General features: G+C 41.2%; 1 long non-coding RNA gene across 1 annotated transcript in view; it reads left to right on the top strand.

Annotated features, from left to right (window-relative positions):
* Window positions 1-22,924, top strand: part of LINC01299 (long intergenic non-protein coding RNA 1299) — a 35,659-nt gene extending 12,735 nt beyond the window's left edge. Inside the window, exons 2-5 of the long non-coding RNA NR_033893.1 lie at window positions 15,068-15,204; window positions 16,808-18,517; window positions 19,323-19,356; window positions 22,347-22,924. This is a non-coding gene — a long non-coding RNA (long intergenic non-protein coding RNA 1299). The remainder of the gene's footprint in view (window positions 1-15,067; window positions 15,205-16,807; window positions 18,518-19,322; window positions 19,357-22,346) is intronic.
* The last annotated feature ends 2,042 nt before the right edge of the window (window positions 22,925-24,966 follow it).

The following is a 24,966-nucleotide window of genomic DNA, read 5'->3' as shown; positions in this document are numbered from 1 at the left end:
CACAAAACTGAAGACAGCACAGTTCTCAAACCTCAGAGCTTATAGTCACTTAACTGAATTACTTAAAATCTTAAGAGCTGACAGTCCTCAAATTTCTACTAAGAGACCAGAAATTAAGTTCTTCCAATCTGCCATCTGGGCCCTGAATGAAAGAGAAAATTGCATCTAATCCTGATTCCAGTTTTGTTCAGAGATTTAAAAAAAAGAAGAAAATAAAAAAGTAAAAAAGGTCTTTTGCAGGCAGAACCTGAGAAATGGTATGGTGTCTTATTCTAAATTATCATACTTGCTCATTTGTCACAGAGTCTGGGTGGCCTGGTGATGATTACTATATAAAATTATAAGTCAAAAAATGCTTTATTTAGTCTTTGACAATGTGCTTGTTGATTAGAGTTTTAATATTTTTTTTCTGGATATGTTAGATCTTTATTAGTTAGCACTTTATGTTGTTATAAATAACTGAAAACTGGCCAGGCATGGTGGCTCATGCTTGTCCTCCCAGCACTTTGGGAGGCTGAGGTGGGAGGATCACCTGAGGTCAGGAGTTCGAGACCAGCCTGACCAACGTGGCGAGACCCCCGTCTCTACCAAAAATACAAAAATTAGGCAGGTGTGGTGGTGGGCGCCTGCAATCCCAGCTACTCGTGAGTCTGAGGCAGGAGAATCGCTTGAATCTGGGAGGCGGAGGTTGCAGTGAGTCAAGACAGTGCCATTGCACTACAGCCTGGGCGACAGAGGCTTCTCAAAACAAACAAACAAACAAACAAAAAAACCTAAAAAACTGAAAGCCTGTCTTAAATTACCTTATTATTAAGAGGGACCAATTAGTTTATGTTGCTGTAAAACAAAGCTAAGTTGGGCTTCAGAACGTGGTGTCGAGGCTCAATAATATTATCAAGGGGGGGGCCATTGTTTTTCTTCCCTCTACTTTGCCCTTTAAGGTGTCAGCTTTATCCCAAGTCTGATTCTCCCTAGTGCTTGCAAGATAACGTCCAGTAACTCTTAGTGCTGTGTGTTTTTATAATTTATTTTAATGGGGAAAAGAATACATCTGAACCAATATTCTGAATTTCATGTTTACTGGCTCTTGTAAAGGCCCATGGTCATCCCTGAACAATGACATATGCAGGAAAATAGAATATGTTGGTTGTTTACGTCAACATAGGATACCTGGAGAGGAGTAAGTTACCTGAAAAAAAAAATTGTAGTCTTGGCCGGGTGCGGTGGCTCACGCCTGTAATCCCAGCACTTTGGGAGGCCAAGGCGGGCAGATCACGAGGTCAGGAATTTGAGACCAGCCTGACCAACATGGTGACACCCCGTCTCTACTGAAAATACAAAAATTTGCCGGGTTCGGCAGTGCACACCTGTAATCCCACCTACTCGGGAGGCTAAGGCAGGAGAATCTCTTGAACCCAGGAGGTGGAGGTGGCAGTGAGACGAGATCATGCCATTGCACTCCAGCCTGGGTGACAGAGCAAGATTCCGTCTCAAAAAAAAAAAAAAAAAAAAAAAGTAATATATATATAGTCTTATGTACAAGATACTAAATACTATATAATAAAATTTCTGTATTTAAAAAAAATCTGTAAAAGCATCTTTTTATACTTTTAAGGATTTTGGCATATTGTCACCTCAGCAGCAGTCAGATGAGTCATTTTGGGCATTTGTATACTTTGTAAGGTTTTTGTTGGGTTTATATCTGGTTGAAAATCTAAGGCGCTTCATGTGCTACCTGTACTTTTGACTACTTTTTCTAAGTGGTGGGTGATACCAAAATGTTGCAGAAATAATTTCACATTCCCTTAGTAAGAGACATGAAGATGCTGCCCACAGATAATATCCCAGGAGCATCCACTTAAAAGGCAGACATTCCTCTGGTTGGAAGTAAAGACAGCAGTGGAGTAGAAGGGCTCAACACTGTTGAGAAGCAGTGGGAGAAGAGAGGAGCGCAGCTGTCTGCTCTCTAAATTAAGGGTTGGATATTTTCAAACTAATACAAATAACTGAGTATTCTCAAAATGTCTCAGCAAGTTGATTCTAATACCAGAGAGTAACTTTTAATAAGCAGAAGAAATTGCAATGGATTTCAAATATGCTTGTTCCCCAAATGGCAAAATTAGGCCTTCCTTTACCTAGAAATGGGAGTTCCACTTCTGCTCTAGGGATTCTTATAACTAGGAGATATTAATGTAAGTGCTATAATTGCTTAGAATGTATAATTTGGTAAAGAAATAAGGCCAACACCTGAGACAGAGTTGGAACAGGATCTATATGAAAAGGTCCTTTCATGACAGCAGGTGTCTCTCTTTCTTTCTGATTCACACACATCCAGAAACCTTTAAACTACTATTTGGTGACACCTGACAGAGAGCAAGACCTTTCCTTCCTCTAAAACATAGCTATCAATTTAAATGTTAAAAAAGTACCTAAACTTATCTCATCTATGCTCTTTACAAAGCTGCAAAAGGGAATTTTCTGACCAAATACCTGGGCTTTGGTGTAGTTACATTTTTTTCTCTAAATGATTTTAACTCCTTTATTTCTCTTTAATGCCTGTACTGCCCCCATCCCTCTGCAGGGTGCCTGTGTAGCTCAGTGGACTCTGCAGCCAAATAATGGCCAAGTAACGGCTGTGACTTCTCACCCAGGGCTGACAAACCACAATGTCAAGGGTACATATTCAATGAGAGAAGATGATTTCTCAACATCTTGCCCTCAAATTCTAGAACTTCCTCCTCAATACTTCTTGGAGATCTAATAAAAAAATGTATCTAATCTATTCCCTCCAGTGGGATATTTTACCTTGGTTATTATCACAACTATTTTGCTACGTGCAATGAAATTAGCAGAGATTCCATTTGCTGAAATCATATGTAGAAAGCAGTGCTCTCTGCTTTATTACCAAATGAGTACAGCGTGCCCTTCAATAATTCTTTAAACTCTCAAATGCCTTGGAAGTAATATGCTGGAATATTACTGAGCTGTGACTGAAGCACCATTTGTGCTAAATATGACAGTGCACAAATGATATTCCTCTATAAAAGTTCAAACTACATTAATCTTTTAGGGAGGCTCATTGACTGGGAAGATGGCTTAGATATAAAATAAAGACACTGAGGGCTCATTGAGGAGAGCTTTTCTGGTCAGGGTTTCTAGGAACAAGGTAAGGTGAGGTCCATAGTTTAACCCTTTATGATTAGGAGGTGAGCAAATGAATGCAATTCCCAGGGGAGAGATGGAAATGATAATGAACTCTTCTCAATATGAGGGAAGACAGGCTTTCAGGTCAGAGAAATAGAAATTAAACGGTATTAAACAGCTGAGCCAAATAGACAATATTATTGGTGCTGGGAATCTGAACAAAAATGTGATGAGTATTCCCAAGTTTATGTTAATAGTTCCAGCCCTTAACCATATTGCCATTTAGAAGAATGGCAGATTCTTCCTATGTAGTCTCTCCAATGTCAGTTTTTTCAGTCATTTTCACTTATCTTAGGGCTGCATAAACAAGAAACAATTGCACGAATGTCTTCTTTTCTTGGATTTCTAGATGTGGCCAATCAGTCAGTAGGGTTGTAGTGCATATCAAGAGGGAGGAATGGGTAGAAGATTTAATTAGCATTAACAAAGGTAGCTTCAATGTAAATATGTAATACTGTTCAGGTTTTTAGTATTAGTTTTACTAAAATATATAAAACATATAAAAAACAACATTGCTGTTTTTAAAAATTATAGACATAGGCCAGGGGTGGTGGCTCATGCCTGTAATCCCAGCAGGTTGGGAGGCCAAGGCGGGTGCTTCACCTGAGGTTGGGGGTTTGAGAGCAGCCTGGCCAACATGGAGAAACCCCATCTCTACTAAAAATACAAAAATTAGCCGGGTGTGGTGGTGGGCGCCTATAACCGCAGCTACTTGGGAGGCTGAGGCAGGAGGATCGCTTGAACCCAGGAGGTGGAGGTTGCAGTGAGTGGAGATCAAGCCACTTCACTGCAGCCTGGGTGAAAGAGCAAAACTCCATCTCAAAAAAAATTATAGAAATAATATATATTCAATGCATAAGACATGTAGCAGTGTAGAAAAATGCAAATGGAAAATCACCTGTTATCACAATGTCCAGAGAAAATCATCTCTAACTTGTTATTGTGTATCTTGTAGTCTCTCTTCTCTAAATACAGATGTGGTATAAAATGATAGATTGCTTTTTCACTAAACAATGTCATATATTTCCCCATGTCAATAAATAAGTAGAGCAAGGCTTTCCCCTAATGCAACAGCTTATTAATAACCTTTTTATTATAAAATTATTTTACTATTTTTTATAAATGTAATATACAGTTTTACAAAGAAAAAGTAAGCAATGAAAGTGTCTGAAAATTAAAATTTACTGGCATTCCTATCATCCAGATAAGATAAGCCAGAAAAGATATTAGAAAGATATGGATGAGGCAAAACCAACATGATTTAATGATAGAATGGATGGTGGAGGAAGGAGGAGTCTATGATAATGCCTACATTTGTGACTTGAGTCCTGGTGTGGGAAACAGAAAAGAAACTGACTTTGTTGCTGCAGCTCTACCTCTTAACTTGGCCACAGTAGCCAATAAGGGCTTCCTTGCTGTTCCTGGAATAAGCCAGGCACACTCCTGGATTTGGGCATTTGCTCTGGCTATTTCCCCTGCCTGGGATGCTCTTCCCACAGCTATCTGCTTGGTCAACTCTTCCTCCTCCAAGTCTGCTTAGATCTCTCCTTCTCCATAAGGACTCCCTGGTCCAATGAGCTAACTAACCTCTCACACTACCGTACTGATCCTCCTTACCTTCCTTTACTTTGCCTTTTTTTTTTTCACAGCACTTATCACTTTCTAAGATACTATTTAATTTATTTACTTACTATGTTTCTTGTTTGCCCGTCTCCCCTCAGTAGAATGCAAACTCGAGGACAGGAAGTTTTGTCTGCTTGGTTCTGAAGTACCTAGAATAATGTCTGCCACATAAGTAGCTGCTCAATTAATGTATGTTAGATGGATTAATTAAATAGTATCAGAGAGTTTGAAGACTGCTGAAGGATGAGATACTGAGAGTGGCAATGGGTAAGAAGAGAGGAAAATTTGAGCTATAAGACTTAGAGAAGAAATGAACCAGAGATGCCTTTAAGATCCTGTATGAAAATGATTTCCTGCCTTTTTACATTGAATGATCCTGTCCATTTTTTACATTGAATGATCCTGTCCATTTTTTCCAAATAACTTATAGACATAGCCTACTAACTTAGAGAGATTCACGGAACTAGGTTAAAAGAGTCTATTATTTTTAGGTTAAATATATATTGAATACTTGGCGCCAGAACCAGTTGACCTATTGATTAGAGACAACACAGAAAGTCCATTTATCTGTCAAGTTCTTATTTTCTATGTCAGAAGAATCTTTACAACATTGATTAGCTGTTTCTGGCAACTATGAGTATATTTCAGCACTGGATGTTTCTAAGTAAGGATTAAAGTAGAAATGGTAACTTTTAGATAACGATTGAAGCAATGATAACGGAGACCAATATTGTAAATAAAGATTTTCTATTACACGAGCTTATGGGGCAGGATATTGATTTTGTCGTTAAGACTCACGTATTACAGGGAAGTCACTTAATTTTCCCCCCAAAACATTTCTGTTTGCCTTTGAGTCTTGCCTGTGGCATGAAGATGGTAAAGAACATCCCTGCCTAGACTCTTCACTGTCATCAATATGTGGTGTGACAGCGCTAATAAGCTACTTCATGATGCATAAATATTTTGTAATTTTTTTCTGACTTACATATGAAAGATCTATTCAGCTTCAATCTGCAAGCTTCACTTTCACCCTGCCCACTGAAACCCCAAATACTTGCTCTTGGATACTCAAAAAGCCAACAGATCAAACCCTAAATGTTGATACTCACTGTAGAAGGGTGAGTCCCACATAGCTGGAAACTCCTTTGGCATGTCTCAAATATCTGACACTTGATACACCTTTTCTTTTTATTAAAAAAAAACTTGGAAATAGATTTTTATTATTTAGAACTTTAATTTCCATTCAAAAGAAGTAAAATATAAATTCAATAAGTTGGTTAAAATATTCCTAAAATGACTCCACATTTATATTTTATCCCTCTGAATTACATGTCAAAATCCTATCTTTTTCACAGGGTATCAGTCTCTGGACCATCAAGATCATCAATAATGCAGCATTTCTTTTTATTTTTCTTTCTTTTTCTTTTTTTTTTTTAATTTGAGACAGGTTTTGCTCTGTCACTCAGGCTGGAGTGCAGTGGCATGATCACAACTCACTGCAGTCTGTATCTCCCGGGCTCCTATCTCAGTCTCCCCCCGAGCAGCTGGGACTACAGGTACAGGCCATTGCGCTGTGCTAATTTTTATTTCTTATTTTTAGTAAAAACGCGGTCTCCCTATGTTGCCCAGGCTGGTCTTGAACTCCTGAGCTAAGGCAATCTTACCATCTTGACCTTCCAAAGTGTTGGGATTGCAGGCATGAGCCACCGTGCCCAGGAGCATTTTTTTTCTTTTTTAAACAAATTTTTAAATGTACAACACAGTATTGTTAACTACAAGCACAATTTTGTGCAGCAGATCTCTAGAACTTATTCATCTTGCATAACTGAAACTTTACATCCATTGAACATCTCTCCATTTTCCCCTCCCTGCAGACCCTGGCATCCACCATTCTGCTCTGTGCTTCTCTGGACTTGACTACTTTAAATACCTCATATAAATGGAATCATTCAGTATTTGTCCTTCTGTGACTTGTTTATTTTTCTTAGCATAACATCCTTAAGGTTCATCCATGTTGTTGCATTTCACAGATTTTCCTTTAGTTAACGGCTGAATAATATCCCAGTCAGTGTATATAACAAAATTAAAAATAGAATTACAATATGATTCAGCAATCCCACTTCTGGGTATTTCTACAAAAGAATTAAAATCGGGATCTTGAAGAGACACTTGTACCCCCATATTCATTGCAGCATTATTCACAGTGGTCAAGATATATAGGAAACAATCTAAATGTCCACTGATGGATGAATTGACCAACATTTTCTTACTTACATTGTCAGTCAGTAATACCTTCTTCAACAATAATGTTCTCCTGAGGAGGTTTGTTTTCCCTCCTTAAACTTCCATTCTTCCTACTTCCCCCTAATTTTCCACATCACAGTAAAAGGCATCACATACCCCTGATTACTTCAGCCAGAAATACAGCAATTATTCAAGATTCCACCATTACTCTCATCGACCATATCCAGTCCAATTAGAAACTCTATCTGTAAATATCTTTTAAGTTTTACTTCTTTATATCTTCAATATGACCCCCTTTATCCCTCTAACTGCCTTCAAAAAAATCTTACCTCTTTAGCCTTTGATCCCTTTAACTCACTCTCTACCCAGCAGAAAAGTAATCTACAACATAAATTGGATTGGATCAATCTCTGTTTAAGCCCTTCAGTGACTTTTTTTATGTGCACCCCCTTTAGAATATAGCCTGTATAAGACAAAGACCTTTCTTATGTGCCATTGTATTTTTGGGGCTTTGGACAGTGCCTGGTACATAGTTTGTGCTCAGTAAATACTTTTAGAATTAAAAAAGTTTGATGACTTCCTTGTTTTTTTAAAAACGTGAGGTCTTCACCTTTTTTGGAATCATAGCAGTAAGAGTTTAACTGGACCTTAGAGGTTATCTGGTTCAACCTCATTTTGTATTAAATTCTACAGTATGCTCCTGGGTCAACATTTTGGAGTTATTTTGGTGCTAGTCCCTGCTTCAGGCTTCTATCTGGTCAGTTTCCAGTGTCTGCTGATTCACTATGGACAGTATCATTTAGATGGGGTTCTCTCTCATTGTTTGCAAAACTGTTGACCTTTCCAGTTTTCATCCCTATGTGTTCAAATTATCGAGATAACACTGTAACTCAGTTTCCTTTCTGTTCATTTTCTTGGATTTTTTTTTGTTAATAGATTAAATTTTCTCAGATATTTGTTAGTCTGCTATTCTTCTACTGAAGAATTTACCTGCCTGATCAAATCTGAGTTCCTTCGCTTTACACTAAGGGAGACCGACCAGCTTATTGCCTCTGTACCTATGCATGCCATTCCTCTGTCATGGCCTCTTCTTTTCAGGCAAGGCTTACAATAAAGAGGTGCTTGTTCCCACCTTTGTTTGAGGTATTGCCCTGACACCTTCTTCATGATTAAGGTCAAGACTTATTGTCTCAAAGACTTAATTTCTAACTAATTCACTTCATACACTTACTTGCATTTCTTTAGCTATTTCTTATGAAACAAGGGCATGGATGAGGCCTAGTTGGCAAGTATGTCTTTAAGAAATCTGGGATAACAGTGCTAACAGCAGACAACTTATTCCCATAACAGGACTAGGAGTCCTAGAGTCTCCTAGGTCTTCTGCAGTGAAGACAGCTTGTGGGCTTATTGTTGGGCCTATGAGAGACCTCAGATAAATATATCTCTATGAAGAGGAGAAGCAAAGGTTACTTGTGTTAAAAAAATTTAAAAAGGGCCTGCCCTGGCAAGAAAGAGGGTTGTTTAAGGTCATGCATGCTGTCTGAAATTAGGTCTTGACTGGCCTCAGGGCAATACATTTGTCACATTTTTCCAAATAAGGAATAAAATTCAGGAAAATTTAAAGTGTGTAATCATCTCTTTAAAAATCTTCTACAAATGTTTATATGTATGAAAGCATAACATGGGCATTGGCTGTGTGGAAGCAACTCCCCAGTTTGTACATTTGCTGGAGTGTGGAGTCAAGAACATTGTGAAACTGTCATTTGGAGGCATCTGAGTTGCAAAAGAAAGACCTTAATACATATTTGTTATGTGAATGAATTGGCCTCATTTTCCAAGGAATAAACCTCTTGAAAATTAGCCAGGCGTGATGGTGGGTGCCTGTAATCCCAGCTACTTGGGAGGCTGAGGCAGGGGGATGGCTTGAACCCTGGAGGCAGATGTTGCAGTGAGCCAAGATTGCGCCATTGTACTCCAGCCTGGGAGACGAGAACAAAACTCCGTCTCAAAAAAAAAAAAAAAAAAAAATCCTCAAAAACCCCCCACAATCTATTGCTAGTCTGTGCTACTGTTCTAGAATGTTCTTAAGATACGGAAGTTCACAGGATGTGTCCCTTGGGATTTGTGACTATACTATTATGGGTTTGATCACTATGCTTACCATGCCAGTTTGCTAGTGGAGACATTTTGGTCTAAAGAGATACTGATAATTGGACTTGGATATTCTTTACACTCATGGCCTTGGTGCTTCTTTATTACATAGCCATTTTGAGGGTTGCTCCTGTTAAAACTGATGATAGTCCTCCCGATATGGGGAAATATGTTTTCTCTCTCTCTCTCTCCCTTTTAAAAACCAATAGGGATCTGAATCAGCCAAGCGTGGTGGCTCATGCCTGTAAACCCAGAACTTTGGGAGGCTGAGGTGGGTGGATGACTTGAGGCCAGGATTTCGAGACTAGCCTGGCCAACATGGCAAAACCCCGTCTCTACTAAAAATACAAAAATTAGCCATGTGTGGAGGCACGTACCTGAGTTCCAGCTACTCAGGAGGCTGAGGTATGATAGCTGCTTGAACCTGGGAGGTGGAGGCTGCAGTGAACCGAGATTGCGCCACTGCCCTCCAGCCTGGGTGACAAAGCAAGACTGTCTCAAAAAAAAAAAAAAAAAGGATCTGAATCATTCTTTGCAATAAAATAATTTCCTGCTTTGAGAAGTCTGTAATTACTCTCTGAACCATATAAATAGCAATACACAATTCCCAGCTGGCATGTGGAAATTCTTGGTTGTCTCTTGAAATATTTCAAAATGGTCTTCTGTTGTAATACTGGACTAAATTTTTCTAAACAGCATGCTCTTATCCATAGTATTTCACAGAAATGTGACTTAAAATGCCAGCATCTCAGCACATTTAGGTGTATCTGTCCATTGCCTGGGCAAAATAATCACTTTCTTTAATCTTTAAAACCAGCTGTTCACAGACATTAATTGCCATGTCACTTACACTCCTTGAAACATTATCATTCGACAAAGACACACATTTTAATTTGTTTGCTGCGTCTGGTCCTATTACACTTGATATTCAGCCATTGTTGGTGGTGAGAGTTTCAGCAACTGTGGGTGGCTGGCATTGTTGTGCAAAATGTAATGATTCCAAATAGGACGTTTTGTGAATAATTGCATTCATAGGCTATTAGTTTGGAATATAAGTCTTTTCTTAGTCAAAATCATCGGATTTTCAATGAGTGCACAAAAGAACTCAGTGCTGACTTGCTTTTTTGCAGCTGGATGCATTTATTTTTGGAGTCAGGTGGTGACGTGGAGGGCTCTGTATCTTCAGCTGACTTGCCTTCATAATCCACTGACATTTCTTTTTTTTTTTTTGAGACAGTCTAGCTCTGTTGCCCAGGCTGGAGTGCAGTGGCACGATCTCGGCTCACTGCAACCTCCACCTCCTAGGTTCAAGCCATCCTCCTGCCTCAGCCTCCTGAGTAGCTGGGATTACAAGCATGCACCACCTGCCCTGCCGATTTTTGTATTTTTAGTGGAGATAGGGTTTCACCATGTTGGCCAGGCTGGTCTCGAACTCCTGGCCTCAAGTGATCCACCCGCCTTGGCCTCCCAAAGTGCTGAGATTACAGGTGTGAGCCACCATGCCCGGCCTGCACTGACATTTCTTTAAGAAAATAACTAGTAGCATACCCAATGGTTGGGTCAGCATATTTTTCCATTTTCTTTTCTTTCATTAAGATTTTGAGAAACATTCAATAAAGAAGCTATTTCTTATTAAACTATTATCTTTAGACACTTTCACATAAAAATACATAATGTATGTAAACCTATATCAACTCGAATTATAAAAAAAAATTCTATAGAGCCTAACAACTGATTGATGAATTGATTCGTTTTTTCAAGCATTTATTTATTTTACATTTATAGAGTAGCTACTCTTTTCCAGGCAGTGTGCTAGACTCCAGGAGTATAAATAGAAGTAACATATTTCTATGCTCTGTAACCTCAAGAGCTAAAATGGAGAAAAATGTGTAAAGATGTAATTATAATACAGCAGCAGTGAGACAGAAAAATGCAGTCAAAACATTATGGGAACTCAGAATATCTAATGATTAATTCTACCTGAGAGTTCAAGGATTGACTTAATGACAACCTCACAGTCAGAATTCAAATTGTTTGTAACTTCTTTCCTCCTATCTTGACTCTAAAGGCAGAGAACAACTTACCTCTGAAGGTCTGGTGACCTGGGTTGAGAAGCGGGTCTTTTTTTTGTTTTTTGAGACGGAGTCTCACTCTGTTGCCCAGGCTGGAGTGCAGTGGCATGCTCTCGGCTCACTGCAACCTCTGTCTCCTGGGCACAAGCGATTCTCCTGCCTCAGCCTCCTGAGTAGCTGGGCCTACAGGCTCATGCCACCATGCCTGGCTAATTTTTTGTTTTTTGAAACAGAGTCTTGCTCTGTCGTCCAGGCTGGAGTGCAGTGGTGTGATCTTGGCTCACTGCAACCTCCCTTTCTTGGGTTCAAGCGATTCTCCTGCCTCAGCCTCCCAAGTACCTGTGACAACAGGCATGCACCACTAGGCTTGACTAATTTTTAATTTTTATTTTTTGTATTTTTAGTAGAGACGGGGTTTCCCTGTGTTGCCCAGGCTGGTCTCGAACTCCTGACCTCAGGTAATCCACCAGCCTCGGCCTCCCAAAGTGCTGGGATTACAGGTGTGAGCCACTGCCCCCGGCCTAGAAAAGGATCTTTTATAGCCCTCTTGGGTTGCTGCAGCCCAGGGAGCGAAGGTGCTGCAGAACACAGGAGCCTTGCTTCCCTCTGCGGGAGCCCAGGTCGTCTAATTCTGTGTTCATCTGTGTTCAACGCTCTTCGCCATTCTCACTTCCTGTCACTTTGTTGACCTGTTCCTATTTATTTTGGGCTTCAATGTTTTCTCCATAGATGCTTTCCCTGGCTTCTTAATCTAAATTACTGTCATTTCAAACTGTTCATCAAACTCTTTAACTTTCCTCCATAGCCTTTATCACAGTTTATGATGATAGATTTATTTGAATGTCTACCTGTCCACACGGCAAGAACTGCATTTGTTACTGTGTCATTTTCAGTACCCATCAGATGGTGTGGTATGTAGTAGGTGTTCAATAAGTACTTGTGGGATGAAGTATTTGTGGTGTATACAGCAACACAGTCCGAGGTATAAAGTACCCCAAAATGGAGAACTTACTTCTCTGTTTTAGCCCATTTTCTGTTGCTTATAACAGAATACCCGAGACTGGGTAAATTACAAATTAAAGAAATTTATTTCTTGTATTACGGAGGCTGAGAAATCCAAGGTCAAGGGGCTACATCTGGTGAGGGCTTTCTGCTGGTGGGGATTCTGTGCAGAGTCTCAAGGTGGTGCAGAGCATCGCACGGTGAGGGGCTGAGAGTGCTGGTTCTCGTCTCTCTTCTTCTTCCTATAAAGCCACCAGTCCTACTCCCATGATGCCCATTAATCCATGAATGGACAAGTCCATTCATGACAGCAGACCCCTCATGGCTCAGTTACCTCTTAAAGGCCCAACCTGATAATACTGCCAATTGGAGATTAAATTTTAACATGAGTTTTTGGAGGTGACAAATATTCAAATGTTAGCACCCTCCGAAGTTGCAAACACTGCTTCTTAAATTTTTTGCTGTTTTTTACTTTTTGCCAAGGGGTTTTTTGTTCTGTCATTGCTCTTTGAACTGAGTTAATTCTGGACCTAGTCAATAATGAGGGTCCGCACTCCAGGACACACACTATGTAGCCTTCCCCGTTCTTTTTTTTTTTTTTTTTTTTGGAGTTGGAGCTCGCTCTGTCGCCCAGGCTGGAGTGCAGTGGCGCGATCTCAGCTCACTGCAACCTCTGCCTCCTGGGTACAAGCGATTTTCCTGCCTCAGCCTCCTGAGTAGCTGGGATTACAGGCGTCCGCCACCACGCTAGGCTAATTTTTTGTATTTTTAGTAGAGATGGGGTTTCACCATGTTGACCAGGCTGGTCTTAAACTCCTGACCTTAAATGATCCTCCCGCCTTGGCCTCCCAAAGTGCTGGGATTACAGGAGTGAGCCACTGCACCTGGCTCTCTTCCCCGTTCTTCACCTAACAGCCTGAATTCTTAGCTCGTGTGGGTAATGACACCAACACTGTTCATTATGTCACTTAATTCTCCTTTACAATAGTGTATGTTTCTGATCTTAAGAACGTGGGAATTATACTTTAAATTGAAAGTGTTCAAGGAGTGCTATAGTTGTGTTACTGGGAAAAGGTGCTAGTCCAGACCCCAGGAGAGGGTTCTTGGATCTCATGCAAGAAAGAATTTGAGGCAAGTCCATAAAGTGAAAGTAAGTTTATTAAGAAAGTAAAGGAATAAAAGAATGGGTACTTCATAGGCAGAGCAGCTTGGGTGCTGCAGGTTGCCCTTTTTTTTTTTTTTTTGAAATGGAGTCTCACACTGTCGCCTGGGCTGGAGTTCAGTGGTGCGATCTTGGCTCACTGCAACCTTCGCCTCCCAGGTTCAAGTGATTCTCCTGCCTCACCCTCCTGAGTAGCTGGGATTACAGGCGCCCACCACCACGCCTGGCTAATTTTTGTATTTTTAGTAGAGATGGGGTTTCACTGTGTTGGCCAGGCTGGTCTGAAACTCCTGACCTCAGGTGATCTGCCTGCCTCAGCCTCCCAACCTGCTGAGATTACAGGTATGAGCCACCGTGCCTGGCCCAGGTTGCCCATTTTTATGGTTATTTCTTTATTATATGTTAAACAAGGGGTGGATTACTTATGCCTCCCTTTTTAGGTCATATAGGGTGACTTCTTGTTGTTGCCATGGCATTTGTAAACTGTCATGGCGCTAGTGGGAGTATGCAGCAGTGAGGAGAGCAGAGGTCACTCTCATTGCCATCTTGGTTTTGGTGGGTTTTGGCCAGCTTCTTTACTGCAACCTGTTTTATCAGAAGGTCTTCATGACCTGTATCTTGTGCCGACCTCCTACCTTATCCTGTGACTTAGGATGTTTAACCCTCTGGGAATGTAGCCCAGTAGGTCTCAGCCTTAATTTACCCAGCCCATATTCAAGATGGAGTTGCTCTTGTTCGAACGCCTCTGACAGTTATATTGATGATACAAATATTCTTGTAGTTTACTTTCATTAGCAGTAGTGATTGCCACTAACATTTTGTAGCAACTGTTTGCTTAGAGGATGTTGTCTGTCATAAGCACTGGTTGCCCCAGGAAAAAGTGGTAGGGGAAAGGAATCAGATCAGTGAAGCTGAAGGGATTAAATGAAAGCATCAATACCAGGGAGGTAAGGGTCACCAGAAAAAGATAGTCCTTGATAAAAGATCAAATTAAAATAAATCAGAGTCAGGATCTTGGAAATGAGGTTTCAAGAAGAAAGTCAGTGGTACAATAATTTGATTATTGGGTCCTTTTAAAAACTCTTATGCCATCTTCTTTTTGCAACCATAGAACAGTGGCTTAAAGCAGCAGTACTTGTGTTCTGTGGTCTACACAGAATACTTCTCTGGTTATTGTCTCAGCTCATCCTTGTTGTCAGTCTTCACAGTCTTCCTGGCCACTTGCTTAAACCATTATCCTTTAGTTCTCTGGAAAGAATGGACTTTCCCTCCTGGTTGTGAATGGGCCTTTCCCTCCTTGTTATAAATGGGCCCCTCCCTCCTGATGAAGTGCCCCTCCCTCCTGGTTGTGAATGGACCCCTCTGGCTATGAATGGGCTTCTCCCTGCTGGTTGTGAAAGGATCCCTCTCTCCTGGTTGTGAATGGGCTCCTCCCTCCTGTTGGAGGGCACCTCTCTCTTCACATCAGGAAGGCCATCGCCCGGCACTTTCCCTACCACAACATTTGCTACCCATTATTGTGAGCACAATATCTAGTGTCTACTTTCTCTTCCATGCATTCTGTGAGAGAAGGCATGATTTTGTTCTTGTTTACCTCTATATTCCCAAGGTCTGATCAAAGGATGGCACCCAGTACATGTGCTGAATGACTGAATAGGGGCAGAGTCCCTTCCTGGTCCTGAAACGTGGAAATTGATTATAGCACCATGCAGGAGTTTCCCCACCCAGTGAGCTGGGGCAGAAGAGGTGAGTTACTACTAGATTCAGGGTTTGGTGGGCCCCTGGGTAAGCACATCCCTTGCTCAGTGTCTTAGTGAGAATCAGGCCAGGGCTTATTTATTTAATCCTGGCATCATGGGTCATCCAAGCTGAATGGCCTTCTGCCATTGTCCTTGGTTCCTGGTCCACACTCTAGTACCTCATGGAGGCCTGACTTTCAATCCCATTCCCATTAGCTTTAAGCTTTGCCCAATTGTCTAGTTTATTTCAAATCTACCACCTCCCTCTACCCTGTCCCGTGTTGCTGCCACTTAGCTGTCTGAGCTTGGAAAAATTGCCTTACTACTCTAAATACATCTTTTCTTATGTCTAAAATGAGAATGGTGGTATCCACATCCCATGTTTGCTGTGAGGGTATCCACATCCCATGTTTGCTGTGAGGGTTATATGAGTTCATGTATATAAAGTATTTGGCACAATACCTGAGACATAATATCTTTCCTGGAGACATGATTAATACTGCACCCATAGCTGAGCCTTCTCAAAGATCTAATATGAAAAATGTCTATGTCTTTGTGATCTGACGGGGTGAGCCTGGCATTTTCTTTTTTTTTTTTTTGAGACAGGTTCTCACTCTGTCACCCAGGCTGGAGTGCAGTGGTGCAGTCTTAGCTTACCTCTGCCTCCTGGGCTCAAGTGATCCTTGCACCTCAGCCCCCTGACCGCTGTACTTGGCCCCCTGAACCCTGTACTCGGCCCCTTGACCTCTGTATTTGGCCTGCTGACCCCTGTACTTGGACCCCCGTCCTCTGTATTCGGGCCCCTGTTCTCGGGGGTCAGGGGGCTGAGGTGAGATTCTCACTTGGGGCTACAGGTGTGCATCACCGTGCCCAGATAAGTTTTGTATTTTTTGTAGAGATGGGGTTTCGCCATGTTGCCCAGGCTGGTGTCGAATTCCTGGGCTCAAGCGATCCACCTGCCTTGGCCTCCTAAAGTGCTGGGATTATAGGTGTGAGCCACCGTGCCCAGCTGAGCCTGGCATTTCTAAGCCTAAATCTGAACTAGCTGTTGTAGAGACTGCTCATTGTCCTGCAAAGTCCGTTCCCTCCTTCTTCAGTTAAAAAACCCCTATATACCTCTTAATTTCAGTGAGCACAGGCTGTCCGGCTAGGGACTATATTTCCCAACCTCTGGCCAGTGGGGGGTGAGCAGAAGTGAAATGTGCTACCTCCACTTTCTCCTTCCTCCTTTTGCAGGCCATGGTGGTGGTTAGCTAGCTTTGAAAATGGGTGTGTAAACAGCAACTTTTGGATACAGTGGGGACAAGAAGGTAGAAAGAATGTGGGTCCCTGCATGATCTCAGGGAGCAGAGCTGCTGACTCTCAGGACTGTCCATCATCAGGTTGGGTGAGAGAGAGAGAGAGAAAAAAAAAAAGAGTTGTGTTTAGGAGTCTCTATGCTAAACAGCTGAGCCTGAAACTATTAATAACAAACCAGCCCAATAAGAAAATCTGGGAGTGTGAATGGGTCAGATTCAAGGAGAGAGAAGATGAAGCAGAGAGGAGGGCAAGAAAAACAATAGATGTATCTGATGCCTGTATTTCTTTTCTTTTCTTTTTTTTTGAAACAGGGTCTCACTTTGTCACCCAGGCTGGAATGCAGTGGCACAATGTCGGTTCACTTCAACCTCAACCTCCCAGGCTCAAGTGATCCTCCCACCTCAGTCTCCCAAGTAGCTGAAATTACAGGAGCCTACCACCACGTCTGGCTAATTTTTGTATTTTTAGTAGAGATGGGGTTTCACTATGTTGGCCAGGCTGGTTTTCAACTCCTGACCTTAGGTGATCCACCTGCCTCAGCCTCCCAAAGAGCTGGGATAAAAGGCGTGAGCCACCGCGCCTGGCCTGATGCCTGTGTGTCATTCTCTTCTTTTCTTTTATAGTCATGTTAACAAAAGGAGATGCACAGAATAGCAACTTTCAGTGAGACTCTACCGAATTGTTGTAGGGCTTGGTAAAAAGTCCCATGTGGGAGAACCTTGAGTGTCCAGTGAGATGAAACACAGATTACTGAACCAGTAATCTGTGTTTTTTATTGGGCAATACTAGTACAGACTTAACCTAGACACAAGACTGTTATAATTCTATAAATTTACAGTATGATTGATATAATAGCAGGTAGAAACCACGTTCCTTGGCGCTAGTATCGAGTACAGTTGAATAACTTTAAAGTGAAAGTTAACATTTCCAATCTAGATTTTGTTATCATGGGGAAAATAATGATTGTGATTGAACAAATCAATGCTCGCATGCAAAATTTTAGGTGGACTTTTCTGAGATCTTGTAGAAAAAAAATAAATTGGGTTTTTATTGTCTAACCACAGATAGAGTAGAGTTTTGTTTTCTGGATCTGTCTAGTAGATTACTAAGCTTCCTTGTCCAGTGTGAATAAATAAGTTTGTGGGGGCATGGGTGATGCAGACAGTTTTAGCAGGACTTGTGTATTTTACTGGGTATGAGAGTAGACTTAGCATAAAGTGCTTGCAATTTCTCTCCACAATTGCTGTGCTGACTGATTCATATTCTGGGAATTAATTTACTACTGAATTCCTGGTTGGTGTTAAGAGAATGGCTTAACTTCTAATGATAAAGCTGAGAAAATAAGGACTTTCTTAACTGAAATGTGTCCTCCTCAGTCTTGTTCTTGTACTGTGCTCTGTCTCTCCATCCATCCTAAGCTCTCTCTAGTCACAACACTTACTCATTCTTCCATAAATAGACTTGTGCCCAAAAGGGGACAGACAAAAGAAGCATGGCAACATGTCTTACAGATTAGCTTTCTCTTTTCTTCCTCTGTCTTCTTTTTTCTGCAATTCTCAACTACTTCCCTGGCTTCAGGAATAATCTCTTATGATGATCATTCTCAAATCAGTTTCTCCAGCCTCTACCTTTCTTTTACATTTCAGTTCTCAATTCTCATTTTGTAGGTATCTCAAACACAACATATCTAAAATCAATTTTATTCCCTGCTATTCCCCTGCTCCTCCACCTTTCAATCCCTCTCCCACCCTGCTCCCACTCCTGAAATTCCATTTTCATGTAAAGGCTTCACCACCCGCCTCCTCACTCTACTCAACCTTTTGTAAAACCTCTCTCATCTCCATTTCCAGTTAGTTTCCAAGTCCAGTCAATTTTACATGATATCCTACATGGACTCGTTCACTGAGCTTAATTATTATTAGCAAACATTAACGCATATTGTGTTATTTCTACAGAAATCAGCAAAAGGTCCTGGGGTATCCTCTGTGTGGAAAATAACCATGATGCATCTTCAGTGTTGTGTGAGTTTTCATGACATACATGAGGGACACTTGGAAGTATGAGTGTTCTTCAAGGGAGATAGTTTGGAATGCTCCCCCACCTGGGCAGCTCCGGCACCTGGGCACCACCTGTGCAGAAGCAAAGCGGGTGGTTCTGGGAGAGAAGTGGCAGTTCTTACTGCCCCAGAGAGAAATATGTCAGAATAGATAGAGGAGGGGAAATTGACCTGAATGTGCCAGTTATAATTTAGCAGAAGCCCACCTCTAAAGTAATTCACCTCCAAAGCTAATGGAGTGTTAACCGAGGGAAACATTTTTTTGTGTGTTCTCGAGCGTGACTACCATGAACTGAGTCACTGACTGAGGCAGCTGAGAGGGAGCAGGAAGGAGAGACCTTGAAGTGGACCCTGCAGAAAAACTCAGAGCGAGGACAGTCTGGCCTAAAGGTTGATCTTAACAGAACAAGAAGGTCTCTAGCCTGGTTAAGTTAATACAATCTTATGTAGGTTGGAGAGAAATAAGTGTTAGTGACAGAATTGATGCTCTGGAAGCTGTCGGAATCCTGTCCAGAAATGACAGGGAGCTTTTGCGGCTGAGTCAGCCAGTGACTGTAACTGACGGACGGGACAGTGTTTGGGTAGGAAAGACAGCCTTAATGAAACCGGCTAACCAGAGTCTGTGAGAATAGACTTAGTTTCCCGGAAAGTGCTCGCAATTGCCCTCTACAAATGCTATGTTGACTATTTCTTTATCCAGTAATGAATTTAATACTAAATGTCTTGACAATTTTAAAATAATTTTAACCTTTTTTTTTTTTTTGAGACAGAGTCTGACTCTATCACCCAGGCTGGAGTGCAGTGGTGAGATCTCAGTTTACTTTACCTCCGCCTCCCGGGGCTCAAATAATCCTCCTAATGCAGCCTCCTGAGTAGCTGGGACCATAGGCATGTGCCACCATGCTCTGCTAATTTTTGTGTTTTTTATAGAGACAGGGTTTTGACATGTTTCCCAGACTGGTCTTAAACTCTTGGGCTCAAGTGATCCGCCTCCTTCAGCCTCCCAAAATGCTGGGATTACAGGCATGAGCCACCATGCTCAGCTATTTTAACTTTCAATGATTGGCAAAATTCTGTTTCTTACTTAGAATACCCCAGTACATCAACTTTACACAAACCTCAGGGATGATGGGTTGCTCAGTTACAGCTACCAAATGACTTGGCACCTGGAACCATCTAGTAGAACTTATGTCCTGGACTAAGGTGCTAAAATCTTAGTTAAGGAGGATTCTGTTGAGAATGTCATCACAAGAGAAATAGCAACTGAAAGCACACTATGTAGATTAGCATATATATATTTAAATCCAAGCTGGAAGGACTTAATATAAAACATGGGGTATTTAGGCATCTTTTTGTGACGACTAATACAAAATCATGTTCTAAAGCCTTATTTTTATACAAAACTTCTGTAGACATGATTTCATTTGATTATCATGGGAACCTAGTGGTGGGTGTTATTGTCAAAATCTTGTCTACTTCCTGAGGCTGGGCTTCTTGGGCACGAGCAGGTGCCGTGGCAGGAATGGTGTCTGCAGCAGGAAGTCCATGTCCAAGGCAGTGGGGAGGGGTGGAGTGAAGGAGCTGCAGAAACTGAATGAATGAGCCAGGCCCAGACTCTTAAGGGATGTTCAAGTCAAAAAAAATCCACAGAGGATTTTGGAGAGTCCAAAAAAATCCAAGAGGGCTGGAGAGATGGCAGCTTCAATAATGGAGGGAGCCCACTAATGAATGAATGGTGGGGTCAGGTATGAGGGTTGTGTATGTCCAGCCTGACAGACCAGGGCTTCCTTGTCCTCACTGACAGATAAGACTCATGGAAGTTCCCCAGCTTAAATGAGTTTTCCAACTCACACAAAGCAGCAAAAGTGAAATTTGCATTGACTTAGGCTGATTCCTACATCAATTTTCATCAATTTTGCTTTTTCTCTCTCTCTCTTTATATATGTATATATATGTGTGTATATATATATATATACACACATATATATACATATATATATATACACACCCACACACACACATAAATACATGTATATACACACACATATATACACATATTAGTTTTTATTTTATTTTTTTGAGGCAGGGTCTTGCTATTGCCCAGGCTGGAGTGTGGTGGCGTGATCACAGCTCACTGCCTCGAATTCCTGGGCTCAAGTGATCCTTCTGCCTCAGCCTCTTGAGTAGCTGGGACTACAGGTGAATACCACCACACCTGGCTAATTTTTGAATTTTGTAGAGACTTGCCCCAAACTCCTGGGCTAAAGCGATCCTCCAGCTTCAGCCTCCCAAAGTGCTGGGATTATAGGTGTGAGCCACCACGCCTGGCATGCTTTTAATATATTATATGATATTTTAAAATAGTTACTGATTTGTACTTTTGCACTTATTTAAATGTAAGAGTTTTGATCAAATAATCACCTTGTCCACAGGTTTTAAGTAAAATATCCTTGTAAATTTTAACTTCCTAACTGATGATTCTTAGCTAACATTTTGTAATTAGATCTGACCAAATATAAGTGAACAGTTGCATAAAATTTTAAGTTAGCAGGAGATATGTGAATTAACAATTGTAATCATAGTATCCCCGAGTCCTCCAGCCTTCCTATTTTTCTTTAACATCTGTTCCAAACAGCGTAACTGAAGCTTTCATCTCGTCACATGTTGTCTGTCAAGTGCCCTCCCCAGTACTTTCTAGGATTCTTGTTAGAGCTTCTATTCTCTCCTGCCTTTTTAACTCATAATTCGTATTAGCTCTTTTATTTCATTTTCTCCTCACCAATCTCCTGTCCTTTGGCTCCTGGCTTTTTCCTGCCCACATGACCCCAGATCAGCCCCAGTGCCTGCTTCCTCGTTGCCTCATGCACCACCGACAAGGCAATGCATACAACAGACTGTTAGGAAGGTTGTAGGGGCTGGGTGTGGTGGCTCATGCCTGTAATCCCAGCACTTTGGAAGTCCAAGGCAGGCAGATCACTTGAGGTCAGGAGTTTGAGACCAGCCTGGCCAACATGGTGAAACCTCATCTCTACTAAAAATACAAAAATTAGGCCGGGTGTGGTGGCTCATGCCTGTAATCCCAGCACTTTGGGATGCCGAGTTCTTGAATTCCTGAGGCCAGGAGTTCAAGACCAGCCTGCCCAATATGGTGAAACACCGTCTCTACTAAAATAAAATAAAAATAAAAAAATTAGCTGGGCGTGGTGGAAATGTGATATGAAGAACTGGTAAAAGCTTTGATTTTTGGAGAAAGAAAATCAAATTCTTGATGATCATTTTTTTTCCCCTTTGGATATAGAGTCTCACTCTGTCACCTAGGCTGGAGTGCAGTGGCATGATCGTGACTCACTGCAACTTTGAACTCCTGGGCTCACGGGATCCTCCCACTTTAGCCGCTTGAGTAGGTAGGACTACAGACCACCTACCTGTAGCACCACCACACCTGGCTAATTTTTAAATTTTTTGTAGAGGCAGAGTCTTGCTATGTTGCCCAGACTGTGATCAAATTCTTAAGCAGTTTTTTTTTCCTACTCACAGTTTGTTATTGAAGGGGTGGAGTTTAAAATTTATTCTCCCCACTTCAAGAGTGATGATTGATTTTTATATTGCTGCTGCTTTTTCTTCCTCTTACATAATAATAATACAAATAATTATTTATTAGTATACTTCATAAATTCTTATCAAACATTTTACTGTGTATGGGCACAGAACTTAGAGCTATAGTTGCACCTATTGCATTTAACCTTTACAAACATCATGAGAAGTAACTACTGCTATTACACTCCATTTTCCAGTGGCTGGAGGTGAAGTTCAGAGATACGGTGTCTTTCCTGAGTTGTGCAGCTCACGCATGGAGGGATCAGGATGGGAACTGAAGCCTGCATGGCTCAAAGTCTTTGCTTTGAAGTGCTGCAAATATGGCTTCCTGAGGAGGACTGCCCTGGACTGCAAATTTGTATTACACAGACAATACCTTTTCCCAGTGCCTTCTTCTGGACTTATGTCTATGTATTTAGTAAATAACTTATGAGTTTGTTTTTAAAAAACCTATTGAGGGCTGGGCATGGTGGCTCATGCCTGTAATCCCAGCACTTTGGGAGGCCGAGGCGGGTGATCACTTGAGGTCAGTAGTTCGAGACCCACCTGGACAACATAGTGAAACCCTGTCTCTACTAAGAATATAAAAATTAGCTGGGTATGGTGGCACACGCCTGTAATCCCAGCTACTCAGGAGGCTGAGGCAGGAGAATCACTTGAAGCCAGGAGGCGGAGGTTGCAGTGAGCCGAGATCGTGCCACTGCACTCCAGCCTGGGCGACAGAGTGACTCTGTCTCAAAAAAACAAAACAAAACAAAACAAAAAAGCAAAAAACAAAACAAAACAAAAAAAACTATTGAAATGTTTTACAGGGAGAGGAATAGGAGATTAAGGGGAAATGCTACTTGCTGGAGGCCAGTGGAGAGGTAAAGAGGTTGGTTACAATGGCTCAGCAACCTCACTTGGTTTGCCTGGCCTGCAATTACTGGGAACATAGAATGAGGTAACTCATCATAGAGGACAACTGTTAAATGGACAAGGATGAGGGGAAAACATCTGTTGTACAAAATTACTTGTTGTGAAATACTTGTAATAAACTACTTGTTGTGAAATACTTGTAATAAATTTATAAAATAACCTTTGGGTAATGAAAACAAACTTTGTTGCAATGAAGCTTTCTTGGTAATGTAAAATTACTTGAAGTTATCTTTAATTTTATTTGGAACAGTTTTAAATGTTATTTGCCAAGCTTGCTGTTACTTGACACTTTTTGATGGTTTTCTGTATTTGCCTATTCCTATCTAGTTAGCATGTCCAGTGCCAGGATCCCTTTTCAGTAATTATGGTGCCTTAAATTCCTGAGGTAGCTTTAGAAAACAGACAAACAAACAAACAAACAAGCAACAAAAACAAAAAATGAAGGGCAGCTTGGCTCCCAGGAATTTAGGGGTTGCCACTGATGTAGTGGTGCCATGTAAGGAAGAATATGAAAATCTTTAACTTGCTTCTGAAGCAGACATCTAAAAAGGCTTATGTAAGAAAGAGACGGGGATAATGGTTCACAACTGTGGGAATGCACTTAATACCACTGAACCGTACTTAAAAATAGTTAAGATGGTAAATTTTATCTATGTTATGTTACCAGAATAAAAAAGAATAATAATTGGCAGGGGTTGGGGGAAGAAAAAAAGAAAAAAAGAAAAAAGAGAAAAACTGCAATCCTAATGTTGCCATTCTTACCTTCCCCTGTTATTCAGAGATGTTTCTCCTGGTAGACTTCTAGGAATGTCCAGCGCTCTGAGCCCTGGTGAATCTTGACTTTTAAAAACATCTTGATGCTCTGGTCCCCCTCATATCCAGGAAACACAGATAAAAGACATACACAGAATTACAGGAGTTCTCAGTGGAGGGAAGAAAGGGATACATGGAAGTATAAGATAAGGGTCGTATTCTCAAAAAGATGACAGTTGGGCTGGAAAAAGAATTTGCAAAGGTACCCACACACTTACACATGTACAGCTAAGGTACCATACAAGGCCTTTAAGTGGTAAGTGGTTAATGCTGACTGTAAGGGTTTAGGAGGTGGGCAACGGTGAGAATCCCTGAGTACTAAGTCCGTGAGGGAAGAATTCATGAAAAAGATGAAACATGCGTTGGAGCTTCAAAGAGCAGTAAGAATCAGGATTGTTGTAGAATTCTTCACAATATGAGAGACAAATTATGGTTGTATCCAATAATGAATTATCATTTTCTTCCTTAAGATAACTCCATTCTCCATCTTCATTGTTTTCATAAAAACATCTGTATTTCTTCATTTATGAATCATTCAATAACTCATTTCTGAGCACTATGTGACTTGCACACAGCCTGACTCTCTCATGCATGCATTGGGGGTACACTGTGAACAAAATGGACAAAATTTCTGTCCCTACCGAGCTTACACTCTAGTGAGGGAGAAAGAAGATGAATAAAATACAGGAGTCAAATATAGTTCTAGTGATAACCGCAAAAACTCAAAGAGTAAAAAGATGTAAATTGCCGGGGAATATTGAACTAAGATAAGGTGGCCAGGGGAGGCCTCACTAAGAAGGTACATTTTGAATAAAGATATGGATAAAGTGAGGGAGCTGTCTCAGAGAAGGACATCCCAGGCAGAGGATCAAGCAAGCATCTAGGTCCTGATGTGGAAACGTGCCTGAGGGGTTCAGGGAAGTGCAGAGGGCCAGTGTGGTTGGAGGGAAGATGAGTGGCAGAGAGGAGACATGTGAGGTAATGGAGAGCCATACCATGTAGGATCTTTTAAGTAATGGTAAAGACTTTGAGCGAGCTGGATCAATTTGCAGGTTTTCAGCATGAAAGTAATATGATGTGTCTGGG

This window comes from Homo sapiens, chromosome 8 (genome assembly GCF_000001405.40).
Source record: "Homo sapiens chromosome 8, GRCh38.p14 Primary Assembly".
Lineage (NCBI taxonomy): Eukaryota > Metazoa > Chordata > Mammalia > Primates > Hominidae > Homo > Homo sapiens.
This window is presented reverse-complemented; position numbering and strand designations above follow the sequence as displayed.